The 17929-nt window shown below is 42.3% G+C and overlaps 1 protein-coding gene and 1 long non-coding RNA gene across 12 annotated transcripts in view, besides 1 other annotated feature; one reads left to right on the top strand and one right to left on the bottom strand.

Annotated features, from left to right (window-relative positions):
• NOTCH2NLB (notch 2 N-terminal like B) overlaps positions 1-17929 on the bottom strand; it is a 112254-nt gene that overhangs the window by 70588 nt on the left and 23737 nt on the right. For 3 of the 11 annotated variants that reach the window (NM_001364008.2, NM_001364007.2, XM_047420702.1), the window contains exon 1: positions 8590-8874. The exons of 4 other annotated variants lie outside the window; for them this stretch is intronic. In NM_001364008.2, coding sequence (NP_001350937.1) covers positions 8590-8592 — 3 coding nt within the window. In that variant the 5' untranslated portion in view covers positions 8593-8874. Of the gene's footprint in view, positions 1-5605; positions 7953-8260; positions 8345-8589; positions 8875-17929 lie in introns of those variants that run through there. 4 more of the 11 variants (XM_047420756.1, XM_047420616.1, XM_047420672.1 and 1 more) reach the window with 4 other exon arrangements.
• Positions 8718-8767: an enhancer, noted in NCBI's record as "active region_1650". NCBI's record gives its function as "activates an Ori minimal core promoter by ATAC-STARR-seq in GM12878 lymphoblastoid cells {active_cell/tissue: GM12878}" and the evidence as "EXISTENCE:reporter gene assay evidence [ECO:0000049][PMID:35858748]".
• Positions 9028-17671, top strand: LOC105371223 (uncharacterized). The gene is made up of 2 exons (XR_922063.3): positions 9028-9255; positions 15495-17671. It is a non-coding gene; the product is annotated as an uncharacterized LOC105371223 (long non-coding RNA).

Genomic DNA, 17929 nt, shown 5'->3' on the forward strand with positions numbered 1-17929 from the left:
CAACTATTTTCCTTAACTCTCTTAGAAAGAATATGTCAGAGAAGCCACTACATATTACTTACTTTAAATAGTAACATAATGCCAAAGACTTGCATGAATCTCAGGATACGGTCTTTTACCTAAAATTCCTCATGAAGATTAGAATGCACTTTAAATGTTGTAATAAAGTAAATGCCCTTAATGTTTCTAACTAAAGAAGATCTAGCAAATAAATAAACCCATATTCACAGCAAATAAAAATATAATAAAATAATCGAAATACACATGTCCTCAAACTTCAATGTGTCTTGACAGCGTCTGAACCAAAGCATGTGTAAGGAGAGAATTAAACAAAAATGTCTTTGCTACTTACCACATTTACCATTTAGAGAAGTTAATATATCAGCACTATCTAGTTTTGTGATTATTCATACTTAGAAACTCAACAGAATAGATTAGTGAGTAAACAGTATTCAATTATTCTTATTTGAATGTTGGTTAGGTATACCAATAGAACAACCTCTCCCTGCTAGGTACCCGTTAAAATAGATTATTGAAAATATTTGAGGCTTAAAAACTTCCAGAATCTTCTCACACAAAAAAAGATGAAAATAAAAAGAGATGAAAAAGAAGCAAACAACAATTTTAAAACGTGCCTGCCTCAGAACAAGGCAGTTTATTTTAGAATGTAACCACAGCTTCTTGTACAACACCTTATTCATCAAGCACAACTGTATTTTAAAGGAATGCTATTTGTTAAAAAGACAACATATTTAGGATAAGGTATCTAACTCCAACCACAATATTATCATCATGTTTTCCTTACTTCACAAAATACACACATACATTCATCATATGAATAAACATATATAATAAAGGTGAGAGAGTTACTCTTAACCCAGAAACAGGTTCTGCAACACCCATAGATCCAACCTGTCGTTATGCAACAATGAGTCCATCTTGGCAAGATGTTTGGCTGATGTATTCAAATAACCCAGAGTTCTGCCAGCTGCCAGTATCCTGCAGAAGGAACTGACTCAGAGACCAGAAACTGCCCTAGGCAAGCCTCCAGGGAAAGGTGCTTCAGTCCAATGGGAAGAAAAACCCAGCCCCTCACTGCCTGGCCAGAGGACCCGGGGTACCATGGCTGGAGCGACGTAGCTGGCTGGAAATGCGAGAGGGGCAAGGGACACTAAGGTGAACCCCCAAGAGCTTGTTCAATCATACCTAGTAAAGGCCAAACTATTGGGGAGCTAGTAGAACAGGGTTTTGCCAAGACAAGTACAAAAGGGTGAGGGAGATATTAGTATGATTAATCAATGCCACCTGAGGCAGCAACTCTGGGTGTGTCCACACCACACTTCAGTCACTGCCTGGCTGTGACGAGAAGTTCCTTCAGCCACTGCCACTGAGAACTGCATCTTCCAAGGAAGATATTTCCACCATAACTTGTCCTAGTTCAGGCTTGGCATTCGGGACTAAGAACACAGCACTCTCTCTTGCCGCAAACCCACTAACAGACATAATAGACACCACAACATGTGCCAAATTTATATTTACACCCTCACCAGACAAAGGGGTTTTTGTCTTTTCCCCAAGCCAAGTTCTAATACTTCTAAATTACAACACAGAAAGAGGAAAATGGCAGACAGCTCACGACAGCAGACAAGCCCAGCAAGGGTGAGCTGGAGGTCGCCTTTCCCTGGTGGTATTAAGACCTGAAGTTTACTCCCAAGACCCTATAGCTCTGAGTCACCCTGACTGCAGGAAACTGCTTTCAGAGAGCATAGATAAATGATAAAATAACTGTATTTCATATTCCTAATTGTGTGCTTATCTGTCTTGTCTCCATGATGATGTCAGCTCCTTGGGAGCAGGACCATATTTTCTACTTGGTCAATGATTCCCACACATCTAGAAGAGTAGAATACCCTGTACTTGCTACCACATGATGCCAAGGGAAGCACACAAATTAAGTGTGACAACACACCACAATGCTCCCCCAATACACCACTAAGACAGTAGAGCTACAAAGATAGCAAATGTTAGTGCCAAGGGCTAGTGATCCTACCAGTGAATTACATGGAAACCTATGTATTTACATACACAAATTAATACAATAATTCCTTTGCTTTTCTTATTCCAAGCTATGGCTTTATCATCCCCCTTTCTTGGCTTTACTCTCCTTTTTAAGACCACAATGTATGTTCTGCCATACAGATAATATTCTCCTCAAAAAAGAGAGACAGGAGAAAAAACAGATCTACGGCAAACCTCCTACCACTACCAGTGATGCAGTTTGTCCCGTCTCAAGCCTATGAGCATATCCTTTCAGATCTGAAGCCACTTCCTTCTTCCTATCAAGGACAGTATTATCAAGTGTCTTTGTGAGAGGAGCAATCCTGTGCCCCTTCTTGCAGATTGTTTTGTTCTGCTCAAGAAGCCCTAGATTCCTCCTTTATTTTCCTTTCCTTATTTCATTTGCTGCAGCAGCCCAGAAACCCCAAAAGCAGGACCACCAGAAATGAGTGACCTTTATATCTCTCCACACTAACACATCTGAGGGAAACTGCCGACACCAAATATGTGTTCATGAGCTAATGAAGCAGAAATCCTCAAAGGAAGCACCATTTGCAACGGCTGAGGACAGAATTCTTTAGTGGACACCAAAAAGGCTGTGGAACTCCTATGCATTCTAACATCTCAGGTAACATTCTAATGGAGGAATAAGGAGGCTTACAACAAAGTCATACAACACAAACAGAAGTCCGAAAATGCTGGATTTCGCAAATTTCTTTTAAGACAAAACAAACAACTTTACTAACCTTATACCATAGCAGCTTTCTTCTCTGTACTAAGTGGCCAGCAAGTAGGAGGCATTTCCAAGGGGGAAAAATGACCACAGGATCTAGCCAAAGCAACCTGTCTCTAATACTCTCAAAAAACAAACAAACAAAAACAAACACTTTGATTTCCCAGATTCACTCTGCAGTGATTCTAAAACTTTCCTAATGTAAGAATCACCTGGCTATTTCTTGAACACACAAATTCCCAGATGACATTCCAGATGCACTGAATCAGAATCTCCATGAGAACACCTGAGCTATTCTTATCATAAGAGAGGTTAGGGAAACACTGCTTGATAAATGTTATTCTCCCACCAGTGCCCACCTGTGCAGGGAGGTATGAAACAAGTAGGGCTAAGATGCTTTACCTGAGCAATCACCCCAGACATGCTCCTCACTGGGTTTGACTCCTTTTATGGAGAGCTGGGTGTCAGCTCAGTAAAGTCTACAGACAAGCATCTCTTTGGGTCCCTATCACCTGCACAGGTCTCAGGACTCTGAGACAAATTTCTGAGTAGATGTCAATGAGGACAAGTCATGAGGAGATGGATTACAGCTGAATATAAGAAGATCTTTCTAAGAATTAGAGCTGGCCAAAGATGGAATAAACTGCTGTGGAGAGCTGTCTACCACAAGAGATGTTCAAGAAGAGAGAAAATATGGTACCTCTTGACTAGAATGTTGTAAACATCAGATCCAGCATGGGATGGACAGAAAGACTAGATGAATTTTAAAGTTCCCGCCAATGCATAAGTCAACAAAGAGGAAAATTTCAGCCACTCCTTAATTAATTAAAAGAGATAGCAAAAAAAGTCTGTGGGTGGGGTCAGCTTTCAACTGATCCTATCTCTTCAAAGGAAAAAAGAACATAGAAACACACTCCAACTCACCATCAGCCTCTCCTATAGAATGTTCTAAAGGTGGGAAAGCAGGAGTCACAGATGCTGTGACTAAGACCTGCCGCTCAGTTGACTCTGAATTTGGGGCACATGCCAGACAAGTTCTGTAGTACAAAGAAATGTGTGTAGCACAGACCTGGCCCTCAAGGATCAAAATCATGTGGCAGAGACAACTCAACACCATGTGATTCTCTCAAATATTTATTCATCATATTTCACCTTTAGTTTTTGTCAGTAGGGTGTTCAGGGGACTCTCTTGGTTCAAAAAAAAAAAAAGCAAATATACTTTACTAAATGTACATATTCTCTCAATCCAGTACAAGTTTGCAATATCCAACTCAATGAAAAAAATCTCAAAAAAAAATTATCAAAATAAATATAAACTTAGTTAACTCTAATTTTAAAAATAGTATTCCAAAAATGACTAGTCCCCAAAATGATGAAATTACAATAAGGTGTGGCTATTCTGGACAAAATAACAGAAATTGCTGGCCTAGTAATACAGTAATACAGGAAGCAGTGGAAGCAAACTTGAATGAGAGGCAGGGGGTGGATGGCAGTGCCTTTGAAGTGAGATTCCAAAGTCAAAGTGACCTTTATAAATTGCAGAAGTGATCAGAAAAAGAAAGAAAGAAACCCCACACACAAAGAAATTCAAAATTACAAGTTTAAATGAAACATCTGGGGAAGGGAAAAATTTGGTTTTTCCCCAAATGTAAGGTAAGCATGACTCCTGCAAATACTATTTTTAAAATGTCTAGGAGTACCACAGTTGTCCAAAATAAGAAAGTGGCTAAAAATAATTGTTCGACTGAACAAGTATTTATTGTGTGCCTATTAGATACCAAGGCATCATGCCAGGTACAGGGGTAGGGTATGGGCATTAGAATAAACACATAAATGAAAATACACGATTCCTTCCTCATGTACGCATTAACAATAAGCACTTGAGGATGTTATAAGAGTTTTTGTGCACATAAGCGCATTTGTACACGAGATGGAAGCAATGTGGACAGTGAATGAGGCACTGGACACCAGAAGAAAGGAATTCTAGTCTCAACTCTAATTGGCTCTGTGACCATGAACAATGAACATCAGAAAATGGAGGACCAAAACAGTGGCTCTCCTACAAGGTCACCAAACCAATTAATAACAGACCTGGAGAAGAATTCTGGTCTTCTGGCTCCTAGTTCAGTGATCTGTCCAAAATACTACACATATGGTAGACTGACAAAGAAAGAAAAGAAGACCTTTTGGTTTCAAGTCATTTGCAGAGAAAGGGGGGGAAACAAAAACAGGAAAATCAGGAAAGGGTGGAAGGAAAATTAATAGTTCAAATTTAGGCATTCGAACTGAGACATCAAGAAAGGAAGCATGTAACTATGGACTGTGAACACAATATAAAGAAAATGATGTAAAATTTCTTATATCCTTATTCAAATCACGCCTTGCAGTTTTTTACTCTAAAATCATTGCAGACGTATATAGATAAAGGGTCAAAAAACAACATGTATGAATGACATTTAAGGAAAAAGAGATAACAGAAGAAAAGGGAAAAGGAGAGGTGGAGAATTTATTATATCATCTAAATATATGAAGCCCTTCTAAAGGGTCAATGCAGACATACTGCACCCAGATAAACAGAAGAAATGACATTATATTCTATATCTCTTACGTTAGCAATTTTAAAATTCTTGAGTCAGAAGTGTTAAACACTGGAATGACTAAGGTTACATTTGTTATGGAAATTTCTTAAATTTAGAAAGACCTCATACACACACCTGAAGGTAAAAAAAAAATGTACTTAATCAGTGGGTTGCAACCAAGTTACTTGTCAGAATCACCTGTAAACCTTGAAAAAATATGGATTCTCAAACTTACCTTATCAGAATCCCTGGGTGCTGAGTCCAAGATCCACCCCAACAGATTTTGATGTAGCCAGGACACAGAGTTTTTTTCTACCATAATGGGAGAGGTAGGGAGGAGGATCACTAGGAATGGCAACACAGAGTGGGAACTAGATCAATGCAAATTTTGTGGGCAAAATAGAATTTCTGTGGGTGTGATATTTTTAAAATGTATTGTAAGGCTGCTCTGAACCATCCAAGCATATCCCACTGAATTTAAACATTCTCTAAAGGTCCTGAAGTCAGCAACTACAATCCAGGTGAACCAAAAGTTGCTTCTCTATGTCATAGAAGCCTACAGGAGAGGCAGTAGGGTGGGAATGGAGCAGAGAGATCCCAAGAAGTTATGGGTAAATATTTTTTAAATCTAAACATTCAGAAAAATAAGAGAGACTAGGAATCACTCTCCTCCTCCTCTCCACCACACCAAAAAAAAAAGGAATAATAAGAAAGTGAAAGGAAAAATAGTTTTAGGTTAAATTTCATCACCATCTGAAAGAAAATTACTCCGATTTTGTTTAAGCAAGAGAAGAATTCAGCTGAGAAATTATCTAGCAGGCAGCAAAATCAGGGAGTCACTTCCCATTGCAAAGCAAAAGAAAACAAGGAGCAAGAGTATGGTCCTGGATAGCTGTTTAGACAATCAGACATACTGCTAACATCTCCTTGCCTTAGAAACTCCGTGATGTTTAAATTAACAATTGGCCACAAGCCAAACACAGGAACACTCAAAAGTTTAGAAGGGTGTGCTGTAATTGGTACCTTAGCAAAACACAATAATAAATTAGGAGGATTCAAGAAGCCTTCACTGTAGACTCTAAGAAGATTTAAGATTTGTACCAAGAAACAGGCTTCTAAATCTCTTCTACTGCATTAGTTTAGCATCTAAAGAACACCTGTCTAAAAATCAAAATATCTAAATCCTATCCTTTGAGTCAACTTGACTAACACTCAACTTGACTACCTAAAAGCTAGCTAATAATCGCAGCACCTCAGCAGAGCAGAGGTGGAGGGCATAGTTTTACGCACTGAGATCCTATAATAAAAGAAGCCCTATGTGTCAGAGTAATCCCATTTCTGACATATTATTTAATACTTAATTTTTCAAATCACTTTACAATCATATTTATTATTCCCTACAATTCTCTAAAGCAGGTTATTCCTTTAGTCCTGCTTCATAGGTGAGGAGACTACATATCATGAAGATTAAGTTATTTACCAAAACAAGTTAATGATAGACCAAGGATTATTACCCTCAGACTGTCTCATTGATTATACTCCTCTCTATCCTAAAGCTACACTTAAAGCTTTCACTCAAAGAAAAAGGAAAAGCAAAAACACCATCATATATGCTCTTTATTAAATGCTTCAGAAACAACAGCTCTGCTTCATCACTACAAAGCCTCCTGGTCCACTTCTGAAATTCTTAGTGACCTAGACGTGTACGAAATTTGAACTTTCCAAGAAGTATCTAGTTGGTGCTGAACAACCCAGTACTATTTTCGGGTGATAAATAACCTTGTTCTCTTTTTAAACATCTGCGATTGACATGTCGACTGACTGTTAACAATGAACAAAGACCATATTTTTCTGAAGCTCATCATCTTCCTAACCTTTTCTTTGAAAACAGATGTAGTTCATGTACTAGTTTTTTGGTGAAGGTAAAAATCTTTATTCAGATTAGGCTCAGAAAAAGAAGGGGCTGCTTTCCGTTCAACAAATATGCACAAGACACCATCCCACTGGGAGCATCAATCTCAGAAGCAGTAAAACACAGCCTCGGCCCTCAAAGGACTTTCTGAACACCTTTGGAGTGTCATCCGTTTAATATACATTATTTTAATTAATCCTATTAGCTGGATAATTTCATTCCCATTTTATTGGTGAGTTCATATAGCAGAGCTGGATTTGAATCCAGGATTACAGAGCAGGGCTCCAAAGCCCAAGTTATTTCCACTAAAGGGTCTGAAGAAATGTAGAATCTAAAAGTGTGGGTGGGATGGGGAAGATATGATTTGATTCCCTTTCCTTGGTCCAACCGTGTTAGAAACATCCAACCACAAAGAAGCTTTCTAAGGAAGCCCTTTGAATTGACGTATCCACTTTTTCTCACCCGCCCGTGCCCCACCCCCAGCCATGCCAAAGGAGCAGCAAATGCTGCTGCCAGGTTGGAGGAATTGGTGATCGTCACACCACATTCCTGGGTCTGGACACAGCCTGAAACAGCAGCAGAGCTCCGCGCCTCAGAAAGAATAACAGCAGTTGAGATTTTTAAATCATGTGCCTCAGCATGCAGCCACACCAGTTGCCCTACTTCTCCTGCCTCCACCTTTCAAAGACGCGAGCAGCACACCCGGCTCCTCCGGACTTTCGGTGGGGTTGGAGTGTCAAAACTCAGGCGCGCCGCAAAACCCCGTCCCCATCCAAACCAAGCCCACACACCCGGCCCATGTGCCGCCCCCTGGCAAAGGCGAGGCTGGCTGCGAAGGTGCAGGCCGTTTGGCTTGGCGGCCCTGCCCCCGCTCTCCACGCCAGAATCTGGCACGCCTTCGCTCAGCCCCTCCGAGGCCCGCCGTCGGCTCTCGCTCGACCCCAAGAAACGCGGAACCTGAAGGGCAAAACTGCCCACCTCCCTGCACCCTGGCACTACGAAAAAGGAGTTTCTGAGACTTGCTGCCGGCCTCCCTCCTGCCGAGGAGGCGTGTGAGGGGTCCCGGGCCGCGGGGAGCAGAGGCGGCGGGGAACCCCGGCGGTTGGCGGGGAACCCCGGCGGTTGGCGGGGCACCACGGGAGGGGCCCCCGGCGATGTCCAAACTCTCGGGAACCCAGCGAGTGGCCTCGCTCCGCGCCGGCGGCCGAGCCTGGCCTTCCCACACAGAGAAGGACCGAGGGGGAGAAGGGTCGCCCCAGGTGGCAGCCCCGGGCGCCGCGGACAGCGCCCCTCAGCCCGATACTCACCATGCGCGGGGGTCGCGCAGCACAGCCAGAGCGCCAGCAGCGCCCACAGCAGAGCGGGGCGCAGGGCGGGCATCTTCTCGGTCGCCTCCTCCGCCGCCGCCGCCTGGGCAGATCCACATGGGGAGGGGGTCCCGATAGAGGAGCCCCACTCTCTCCTCCCCTCCTCCTGCTTCAAAGGCTCAGGCCCTGGCGCTACGCTCCGAAGCCCAGGCGCAAATGCCTCGACTCCCCGCGCCCGGAGTCCGCCGCTCCTCGGCCGCCGCCTCAGCCGCCCGAAGTTTGGCTGAAACTTTCTCGGGTGTGCAGCGAAGCAGCCTCGTGTGTCCTTCCGCCTCAGCCGCCTCCTCCCACCGCAAGCCCCGCCCCACTGTCGCCGCGGCCTCGGCCCCGCCGCCTTGGGCACCCAGGGGTTTCCCGCAGGAAGAAGCGCCGGCCCGAGCTCCGCGCGGAGGGATCTACTACGAGTCACTGGCCCCGTCCGCATCCTTCTCCAGCGGCCCCGGGGGCCGCCGCGCCTTAACTCGATCAGGGCTGCAGCGGCTCGCTGGCTTGACCAGTGCAGAAGGGGCGTGGGGGTGAGGGGGGTGGGGTAGGACTCTGAACTTCAAGCACTGGAGTTTGCCGGGATCGTGAACTTGCAGGGAGAGGCGGTCCTCATCCAGTGAGGTCTGTATCGCCACCTACACCCACACATCCACACACTGCTTTGCTAGCTAGAGGAATGCTCTGGAGTAGGACCAGTGCTGTCAAAGAAGGAAAGTGGGCCAAGGCGCCAAAGTCCATTAAAAAGGAATAGAGCCATCACGGAGTGGTGCTGCCCCATTCATTCATTCATTTGTTCATCCGTGTAGCGAATATTTCTTAAGTGCCTTACTTTGCGTAGCTGTGTGCTTGGCAGTGGGATGATACCAAAGATGCACAAGCAACTTTGAGTACCAAGACTTTGCCGCTGTGGGCTGGGGGATTCAGGGAAGGCTTTCCCAGAGGAGCTGGGATGAAAGCAGGATCTTGAAAGGTCAGTAAAATTTGTATAAGACAAGGAGACCAGCTAAGCTAAGGATATTCGTTGTAACACTGTAATAGCAAAACCTTGAAAACAACATAAATGCCCACCCTTAGAGGAATGGATGAATAATGTATGGTATATTTATAAAATGAAATGCAACACAGTAATTGAAAAGACTATAGCTATTTATGTCAATAGGGATAAATCTTAAAAACTAAATGATAGTGAAAATAATCGCAGAGGGAGACAAAGTATACCATTTATGTATATTTTTTTCAAGACAATACTACACATTATCTGTGGATGCATATATATAGATATAGATATTAAGAGACTATAACCAGAATAGTAGTTACTTCCAGGGCAGGAGAGTAGGGGGTGTGATCAAACCTGGGTACAAGTGGGCTTCTAAGAAAAGAGCTAAAAGTAAGAACAACAACAATAGTTGTATGGACATATCATTCCAGGAAAGAGCCCTCGTGAAAGCAAAGGTACAGTCAGAAGAGTAAGTAAATGAGTTCTGTCTCTGTTAGCAGTGAGAGGAGTCAAGGACGGAAAGGGGGTTGGGACCAAATTATGCAGCCTTGAATGGCAAGCTGAAAGGGTGGGGAGGCAGCTACCTCTTAGGTCACATAAAACTATTGAAAGTTTTTGAACAGAGTTGAGATTGATGGAAAGGAAGATTGCTCTGATAATTCTGTAGAAAATTGATTGTTGGGAGCAAGAGGTGAACTGGAGCCCCAGGACCAGTCAAGAGTTGGTGAACAGTCCAGGCACAAATTTAAGAAGACCTGAACTAATAAGGTAGATTTCAGAAGGAATGAATCTGAGACAATGTTAAAGAAACAGAAAAAAAAAATGGAGGTGTGACTAATTGGATGTGGGAGTTTACAATCCTGTTGGGATGAGAAATCCTACCCATAGAACCTCTCCCTGACTCCTATAGGATAAAATTCAAACTTCTAAACATGGTACATACAAGGCCTTTTCGTCATTGGGCCCCATCTCCTGTCCTCCCTGCCCCTGTTGTGAACTTCACACAATAACAGTATTACTTGAGATTCCCCCAAACATATCTTGCTGTTTCTGTCCCTGTATCTTTTGTTCCTTTGGCTTGGAATGACTCCTGTAGTCCCCTTCCCTCCTCCTCTTAATGAACTTCTAATCATAATTCATCCTTCAGTCCAAAGAAGGCTTTGCCGACACCACAATAAATTCCTCCCTCTAACAGACAGTCCCTCCACTGTCTTCCACTGCCGCTTCTTTATCTTAACACCGATACTTATTTTTCACACAGGACTCTTTGTATTTCTGTGTTCTCAACTAAGTTTTGAGGTCCTCATGGGCAAAGACCACAGCCTATTAATCCCCAGTGTCTATCACATAATAGATGTTGAACTAGAATGTAAAACAACACTAAGCAAGTACAAGTCAGTATGGGCATAGACCTATGAAGTTCCAAAACTGCATGTTAACAAGCACTTTAGGTAAGCAAGTATCATTAGTGAAAGTAGTCACATTGAAATACTGGAAACCCTTTTCAAAAATAACGTAGTCAAAATATTTTTGGAATTTGTCTTGTGCAAGTATGTTCAGAGAAAGATAACATTATTTTTCAGTTGTTTACCCACAGTGTTACCAGTTCGATCTTCCTCTTTACTCACTAAAGATAATTCATAGTGACTTGGCTGCATACAAATTTTAAAAATCACCTGCAAAGATAAGTTTTGTCACTATTAAAATATATTCAGAAGAATATAAGATAGTTATCCCCAAAGAGCAACTCTAGAAGCGACTGTAGCTATGACAACATTATTAAAATAAATGTGCAGGCCAGGCGTGGCGGCTTATGTCATAATCCCAGCACTTTGGGAAGCTGAGGTGGGCAGATCACCTGAGGTCAGGAGTTCGAGACCAGCCTGGCCAACATGTTGAAAACCCGTCTCTACTAAAAATACCAAAAATTAGCCGGGCATGGTGGCGAGCACCTGTAATCCCAGCTACTCAGGAGACTGAGGCAGTAGAATCACTTGAACCCAGGAGGCAGAGATTGCAGTGAGCCAAGATCGTGCCACTGTACTCCAGCCTGGACAACAAGAGTGAAACTCCGTCTCAAAAAAAAAAAAAAAAAATAGGTATGCAGTTTCTCAAAGTAACCGTTTTAAAGAAAGCAGCTATTATGTTCACATATAACTTTTGTTGAATGTGTTACAATATGAAAACTTACTGCATACATTCTGGTAAGGACAAGAGAAGTAAAGAGTAAATATGAATGGAAGTAAGGGAAAAATATGACTGAAGACATTTTTTAAAGATAAGTTTTAATGATAGAAAAATATGAGTAAGGGCTACCAATTGTTTTAGTTTTAATCAAAACTAAAAATATACATCTATGTCTTTACTGATTTAAACTCACATAAAACTGCCTTCCAAAATAAATGCAGAATTGGGCACTTATTTGTTCTCATGTCTGTCCTCTCAGAGCCGACAAGCTGTAAAAAACTCTCAAAATAAAACTCTGTTTTATTTTCTGTTTTGCCCCGGTTTCTATCACATAAGTGCTCAATAATATATGTTTTACATAAATGCTGAATGAGGAACATATATATCTATATAAACTGGGGAGCAGTGCAAGACTGGAAGAATGTCTTGGTGTGTTGGAGAAGTTGAAGAAGAGATTGTGGGATAGCTATGACACATAGATTGAGCTACACCACGAATCTCTCCATGTAACCCAGGAACCCAAGGATATGTGATGAGATGTTTGTGGAAGCAGGAATTAAAAGGAAGATTTCTTTTAATAATGCCTTGCAGTTGCACAGTGATTTAGACCTTCCAAAAACACTTTTAATTATATTATCTCATTTGATCCTCAAAACAGTCGTGGGAAATAGGCACCCCAGTCATTATTATCCCCATTTTGCAGATGAAGAAACTGAGATAGAGCTTTAAGTATCTTGCCCAAGGTTAAATAAGTAATTAGTGAGCTGAGACAAACCCCCCACTATTTCTGTCCTCTTACTCAGTCTCACTCCACTGTACCTTTGTGCAACAATGTGAAGCACATCCAAGATGATATTTAGTGTGGGGACCTCTGCGTAGAGGGACACCAGTTTCTTGTCACTTCCATATTAGCACAGAACAAGCTGGCCCACTGTAACTAGGAAACATAAACAAGTGAATACATTCTTTTAATTTAAAATTTTTTTGAGAGCCTGTTCTCTATAAAGCACATACTAGGCTCTGCGGCAATGCAGAAATAAATAAAACCTAGTCCCTGTTCTTTGGAGATCACAGAGCAGTGAGGCAGGCCAACATACAAATAACATAACTACAACAGAGATAAAGCACAGGGATATGGGAAAGTAGAGAGCACTGGGATTAATTTTGAGTCCACTTTCCTCTCATCCAGTCCCCAGCCTGAAAGATATGAACTGTGGTGGCCCACACAGCTGGACTGTAAACCATGTGACAAGAGTCATTTCTTACCCCTTATTCATGTTTGTAAACTCCACAGTAGTTGGTTCTTTGCCTTGCATAGAGTATGTGCTCAATAAAGACCTACTTTCTGAAAGGTTCACAGAGTTCAGCCAAACACAGGACAAGTTCTAGAAGGCAAGACGTTAACCTCAAGATTCAAACTAGCTCTGAGAATTAAGAACCAGCCAGACCCTTCCACTGAGCCTAGACCCAATTAATTACCTCTGCTCTAATTAAGGGAATCAGTAATGTAAGTAATTGTAATATGGGCGATATAGTTTGCCTGTGTCCCCACCCAATATCTTATTTTGAATTGTAATCCCCATGTGTCAAGGGAGAGACCAGGTGGAGGTAATTGAATCATGGGGGCGGTTTCTCCCATGCTGTTCTCCTGATAATGAGCGAGTTCACGAGATCTGATGGTTTTATGTGTTTGGTAGTTCCTCCTGCATTAATTTTCCTTCATGCTGCCTTATGAAGAAGGTACCTTGCTTCCCCTTTGCCTTCTGCCATGATTGTTAAGTTTCCTGAGGCCTTCCCAGCCATGCTAAACTGTGAGTCAGTTAACCTGTTTCCTTTATAAATTACCCAGTCTTGGGCAGTTCTTTACAGCACTGTGAAGACAGACTAATACAGTGGGCTTGTTGACATAGTTTTGCCCTTTTATGAATGTGATTATCTCAATTTTATTATGTTAAGGAAGGACACAGTGGCCCACACCTGTAATCCCAACACTTTGGGAGTCCAAGGCAGAAGGATGGCTTGAGCCCAGGAGTTCAAGACCAGGCTGGGCCACAAAGTGAGACCCTGTCTCTACAAAAAATTAAAAAACTAACTGGGCATGGTGATGCATGTCTCTAGTCCCAGCTACTCGGGAGGCTGAGGTGGGAGGACCACTTGATCCCAGGAGGTTGAGGCTGCAGTGAACCATGTTACCACTGCTGCATTTCAGCTCGGGTGACAGAGCAAGACCCTGTCAAAAAAAAAAAAAAAACTTACCTAGAAATTTCACATCTTCTGCTATGCTTGAGATAAGCAGGAAAATTCATATAGGAATGCTCACTGTATCACTCCCTTAAAATCTTCTTTTAAGCATTTTATGCTAGGAGGTATTACACTTCAATTCCTAAGTAGGTGTGTACTTTTTGTATATAATGATGTATGAAAAGGTTGACCTGTATGCACCAAGATGTCTCCCCAATTTAACAGTATCATAAATTCACAACTGTGTAATTATCAAACCACAGTATTATTGGATGAGTCTCAGTGCTTTAGTCACTAAAATGGTTATGCAATTTTGAATATTTATTGACGTTGTTCTCAGGGACTGTTGAATTGTTTTTACTCACATTCTTATATTCTTCCTTCATAATTAGCCAAGACATTCTTGACAGCAAGATTCAGGCATACAGAAAGTTTCTACTTCAAAATATGGAAAATCTTCTTACCATCTAGGTGCAGATCATATCTAAGTCCCCCGAAGAAAAAGAAAATGGAAACTTTTCTTACTAAGTGGAATTCAAAATGGTTAACTAAGTATGAGAGAGGGGACATCAAAAGTAAGGAAGAGAAATCCCATTATAAAAAGTGTGCACAGGCCAGGCACAATGACTCACACCTGTAATCCCAGCACTTTGGGAGGCCAAGACGGGAGGATCACTTGAGGCTAGGAGTTCAAGACCAGCCTGGGCAACATGTTGAAACCCTAACTCTACAAAAAATACAAAAATTAGCTGGGCATGGTGGTGCACGCCTATGGTCCCAGCCACTCAGGAGTCTGAGGTGGAAGAATCACCTGTGCCTGAGAAGTCAAGACTGCAGTAAGCCGTGATCACACCACTCCACCACTCCAGTCTGGGTGACAAAGTGAGACCCTGTCTCCAAAAAAAAAAAAAAAAAAAATGCATTAAAAATCTCCTTCTAAGTAAGTAATTCATTGGGAGATAATTAATGGCTGGAAACAGGTATTTATAATGGAAGCATACATGGCCTTAACGATAGGGTTTGCTTCTGAAAACACTCTAATTAAAAAGGGGAAGAGTAATTTTATAGGAAAGTACAAATCAGTGGTGTGTATGTCTACCAGTGTGTGCAAAGAGACAGAGGTGGTAATTGCTGGACTCAGACCAGGTATCAGCAACAACTAAACATAATGACCTTATAAATATGCAGATAGGATTTCTGACAAAGCTAAAAGTACATCATTATTATTATTCATCAATGTGGAATGGAATGTGAAATTGGAATCAGCAGGTAAGGGGTGGTTGTACCTGAATATCCTGGATACCAACTTGTTTTTGTTTTTAATCATTCTAATCTCTGTTAAGAATAATGTCACATGACTACTTTATCCTCTTTCTCAGACCACTGATCCAACCATTTTTCTTTCACACTTTTGCCTCCTTTCCTCTTATAACAGGTACTAACAGTCTAAGCAGAAAAAGAAGAACAGATGGTGGTAAGACCTAGAATGTTTACCCCATTAAGATCTATATCTGAATCCAGAAGGAACACCTCATTGCCGAGAAGAGCCCTGCAGACAGTTCACACCTCTGTTTCTTTTGCAAGATATAGCTACCTCAAAAAATCCTTTCTTGATCAAACTCTTATGGCCTGGAATCCTTGCGTTTCTGCTGATGACTGTCATTTTAGAGTACTTACTAAAGACAATGGTTGGGGAAATAGATATTTTAAAAATAAGGGAAAAAGTGGGTAGGGTAAACCCAGGCTTACTTATGTAAACTCTGAGTGCTGAAGTTAGAAGACAACCTTTAAGATTAAAAAAAAAAAAAAAAAAAAGATTTCTGGTAGCCGCCAGAAGCTAAGAACAGATTCTCCCTCTGAGCCTCCAGAACCCAGATGACACCTTGATTTCAGACTTCTGGCCTCCAAAACTGTGAGAGAAGAAATGTGTTGTTTTAAGGCACCCAGCTGGTGACAGTTCATCACAGTAGCCACAGGAAACTAATACCCAGCCCCATGGCAGGCATAGGTCAAGCCTGGCACAGTCTGGATCTCAGTCCCTGACTCAGACCCTAGATGCTCGCTGCCTTGTACAGAAACAACCTGCTCAACCAAACAGGGTGACCCTGCTGAAGCCGCAAATGTCCAACAGTCCTGCCAACCGTGGATGCTTCTGTAGCTTCCCTTTAGCTCTCCCTCCTGGCATGAAACCAGACACAGACTACCCAGAAGATGAACTGAGCACTCTGCAATGGGCCCAGCACGCTGCTGCATCTGAGACCATCTTCTCGGCCCTAACAACCCTGGCAGGCTCTTCTCTCTGGTGGGGAAATTGGGCTTAGGGAAAGGACATCTTTAGGACAGTCATCCCACCAAGTAGAATGACTCTATGCAGCCTGAATACTGTTTCCCTGGGAGGAAAAAAATCCAAAGCATAAACTTTTATAAGCTGTTTTAATTAAAACACTCTTTGTAAAGTGATGTATTTGAAGCAAGGGAGGAGAAAGGTTTTCTGGCAAAAGTGTCTTTTGTGGTGTTTCTTTGGTGAGCAAAAGGAACTCAACTGATGAAAACACCAAAGCACAAACATTCTGTGGCCAGTAAAGTGGGTGGAGGGGGCAATGGAGACAACCTCAGGTGGGGCCCAGCTTGTAACGCTGGCAGGGCTCTGTTAATGTGCTCCATAAAGGGCTTTGGAGGGCAGGAGGAGCACCACCAACATTTTAAATGTGAGGCCAACCATAAAACGATTCATGATTAGTCCACTAAAATGTGTTTATTGGCAAATAGGAAAGAGATCCCTGAAAATAAGCAGGAACAGGTGATTTTCAAGGCTGACTTAGGTCTCCTATTCAGCTACTCAACAATTATATCCGAGCTACGTGCAGTGGCTCACCCTGTAATCCCAGCACTTTGGAGGCTGAGACAAGAGGCGAAAAGTTCGAGACCAGCCTGGGCAACCTAGCGAGACACCATCTCTATGAAAAATTTAAAAATTAGCCTAGCATGTGTCTTGTGCCTGTGGTCCCAGCTACTCAGGAGGCTGAGGTGAGAGGATCACTTGAGCCCCAGAGGTTGAGGTTACAGTGAGCTGTGATCACACCACTGCACTCCAGTCTGGGTGACAGAGTGAGACACTGTCTCAAGAAAAAACAAAAATTAAAACAAACAATAACAACAACAACAACAAAAAAAAAAAACGGCAAAGTTAGAACACACAAAAGATAGTATAGTTCCTTACCCATCCACCACTTGGTTTTGAGGAGAAAAGGGAAGTAAGAAGAGTTGAAGAGAAGAAAAACAGAACAGAAGAGTGGGAAAGGAAGATGAAAGGGTGCTATGGAGTACTATGCACCTGTTTAGAAGTGGGGAAGTAGCACAAACACTAGCAAAAGAAGAACCACCATGGAGTTCCTCCTTGCACATCTCTCTCCCCTCCTGAAGGCCTAGGGTGAGCCCACAGCATTGTTCCAGCAGTGAGGGAGTCTTCACTGCCTCCTGAGACTCTCTCACGGCTCTTAAGATACCTCCCTGAAGTCCCTCCAAAGAATTCAATGTGCCCCTAGTCTAAATCAGTTTCCTCCATCATAAATACTCATAGATGACGCAACAATAAAGCGTTAATAACGATAATGGCAATTTTGTGTGTCAAACATTGTATTAAGAATTTTACCTGCTTTATTGTTTGTAATGCTTCAACAGCTTATGAGAAGGTATTATTATTTCTACTTCACAGTGCAGAAAATGAAACCTGAGTAAGTTGTCTTAGATCACACAGCTGCTAAGCAGTGGCACAGGGATTTAAGCCCAGGTCCATCTGATCAACTCCGATGGCACATAATTGACCTCTGCATTGTCCCGCCTGCCCACAGGTCACTGCCTCAGTGATCC

Source organism: Homo sapiens, chromosome 1 (genome assembly GCF_000001405.40).
Source record: "Homo sapiens chromosome 1, GRCh38.p14 Primary Assembly".
Lineage (NCBI taxonomy): Eukaryota > Metazoa > Chordata > Mammalia > Primates > Hominidae > Homo > Homo sapiens.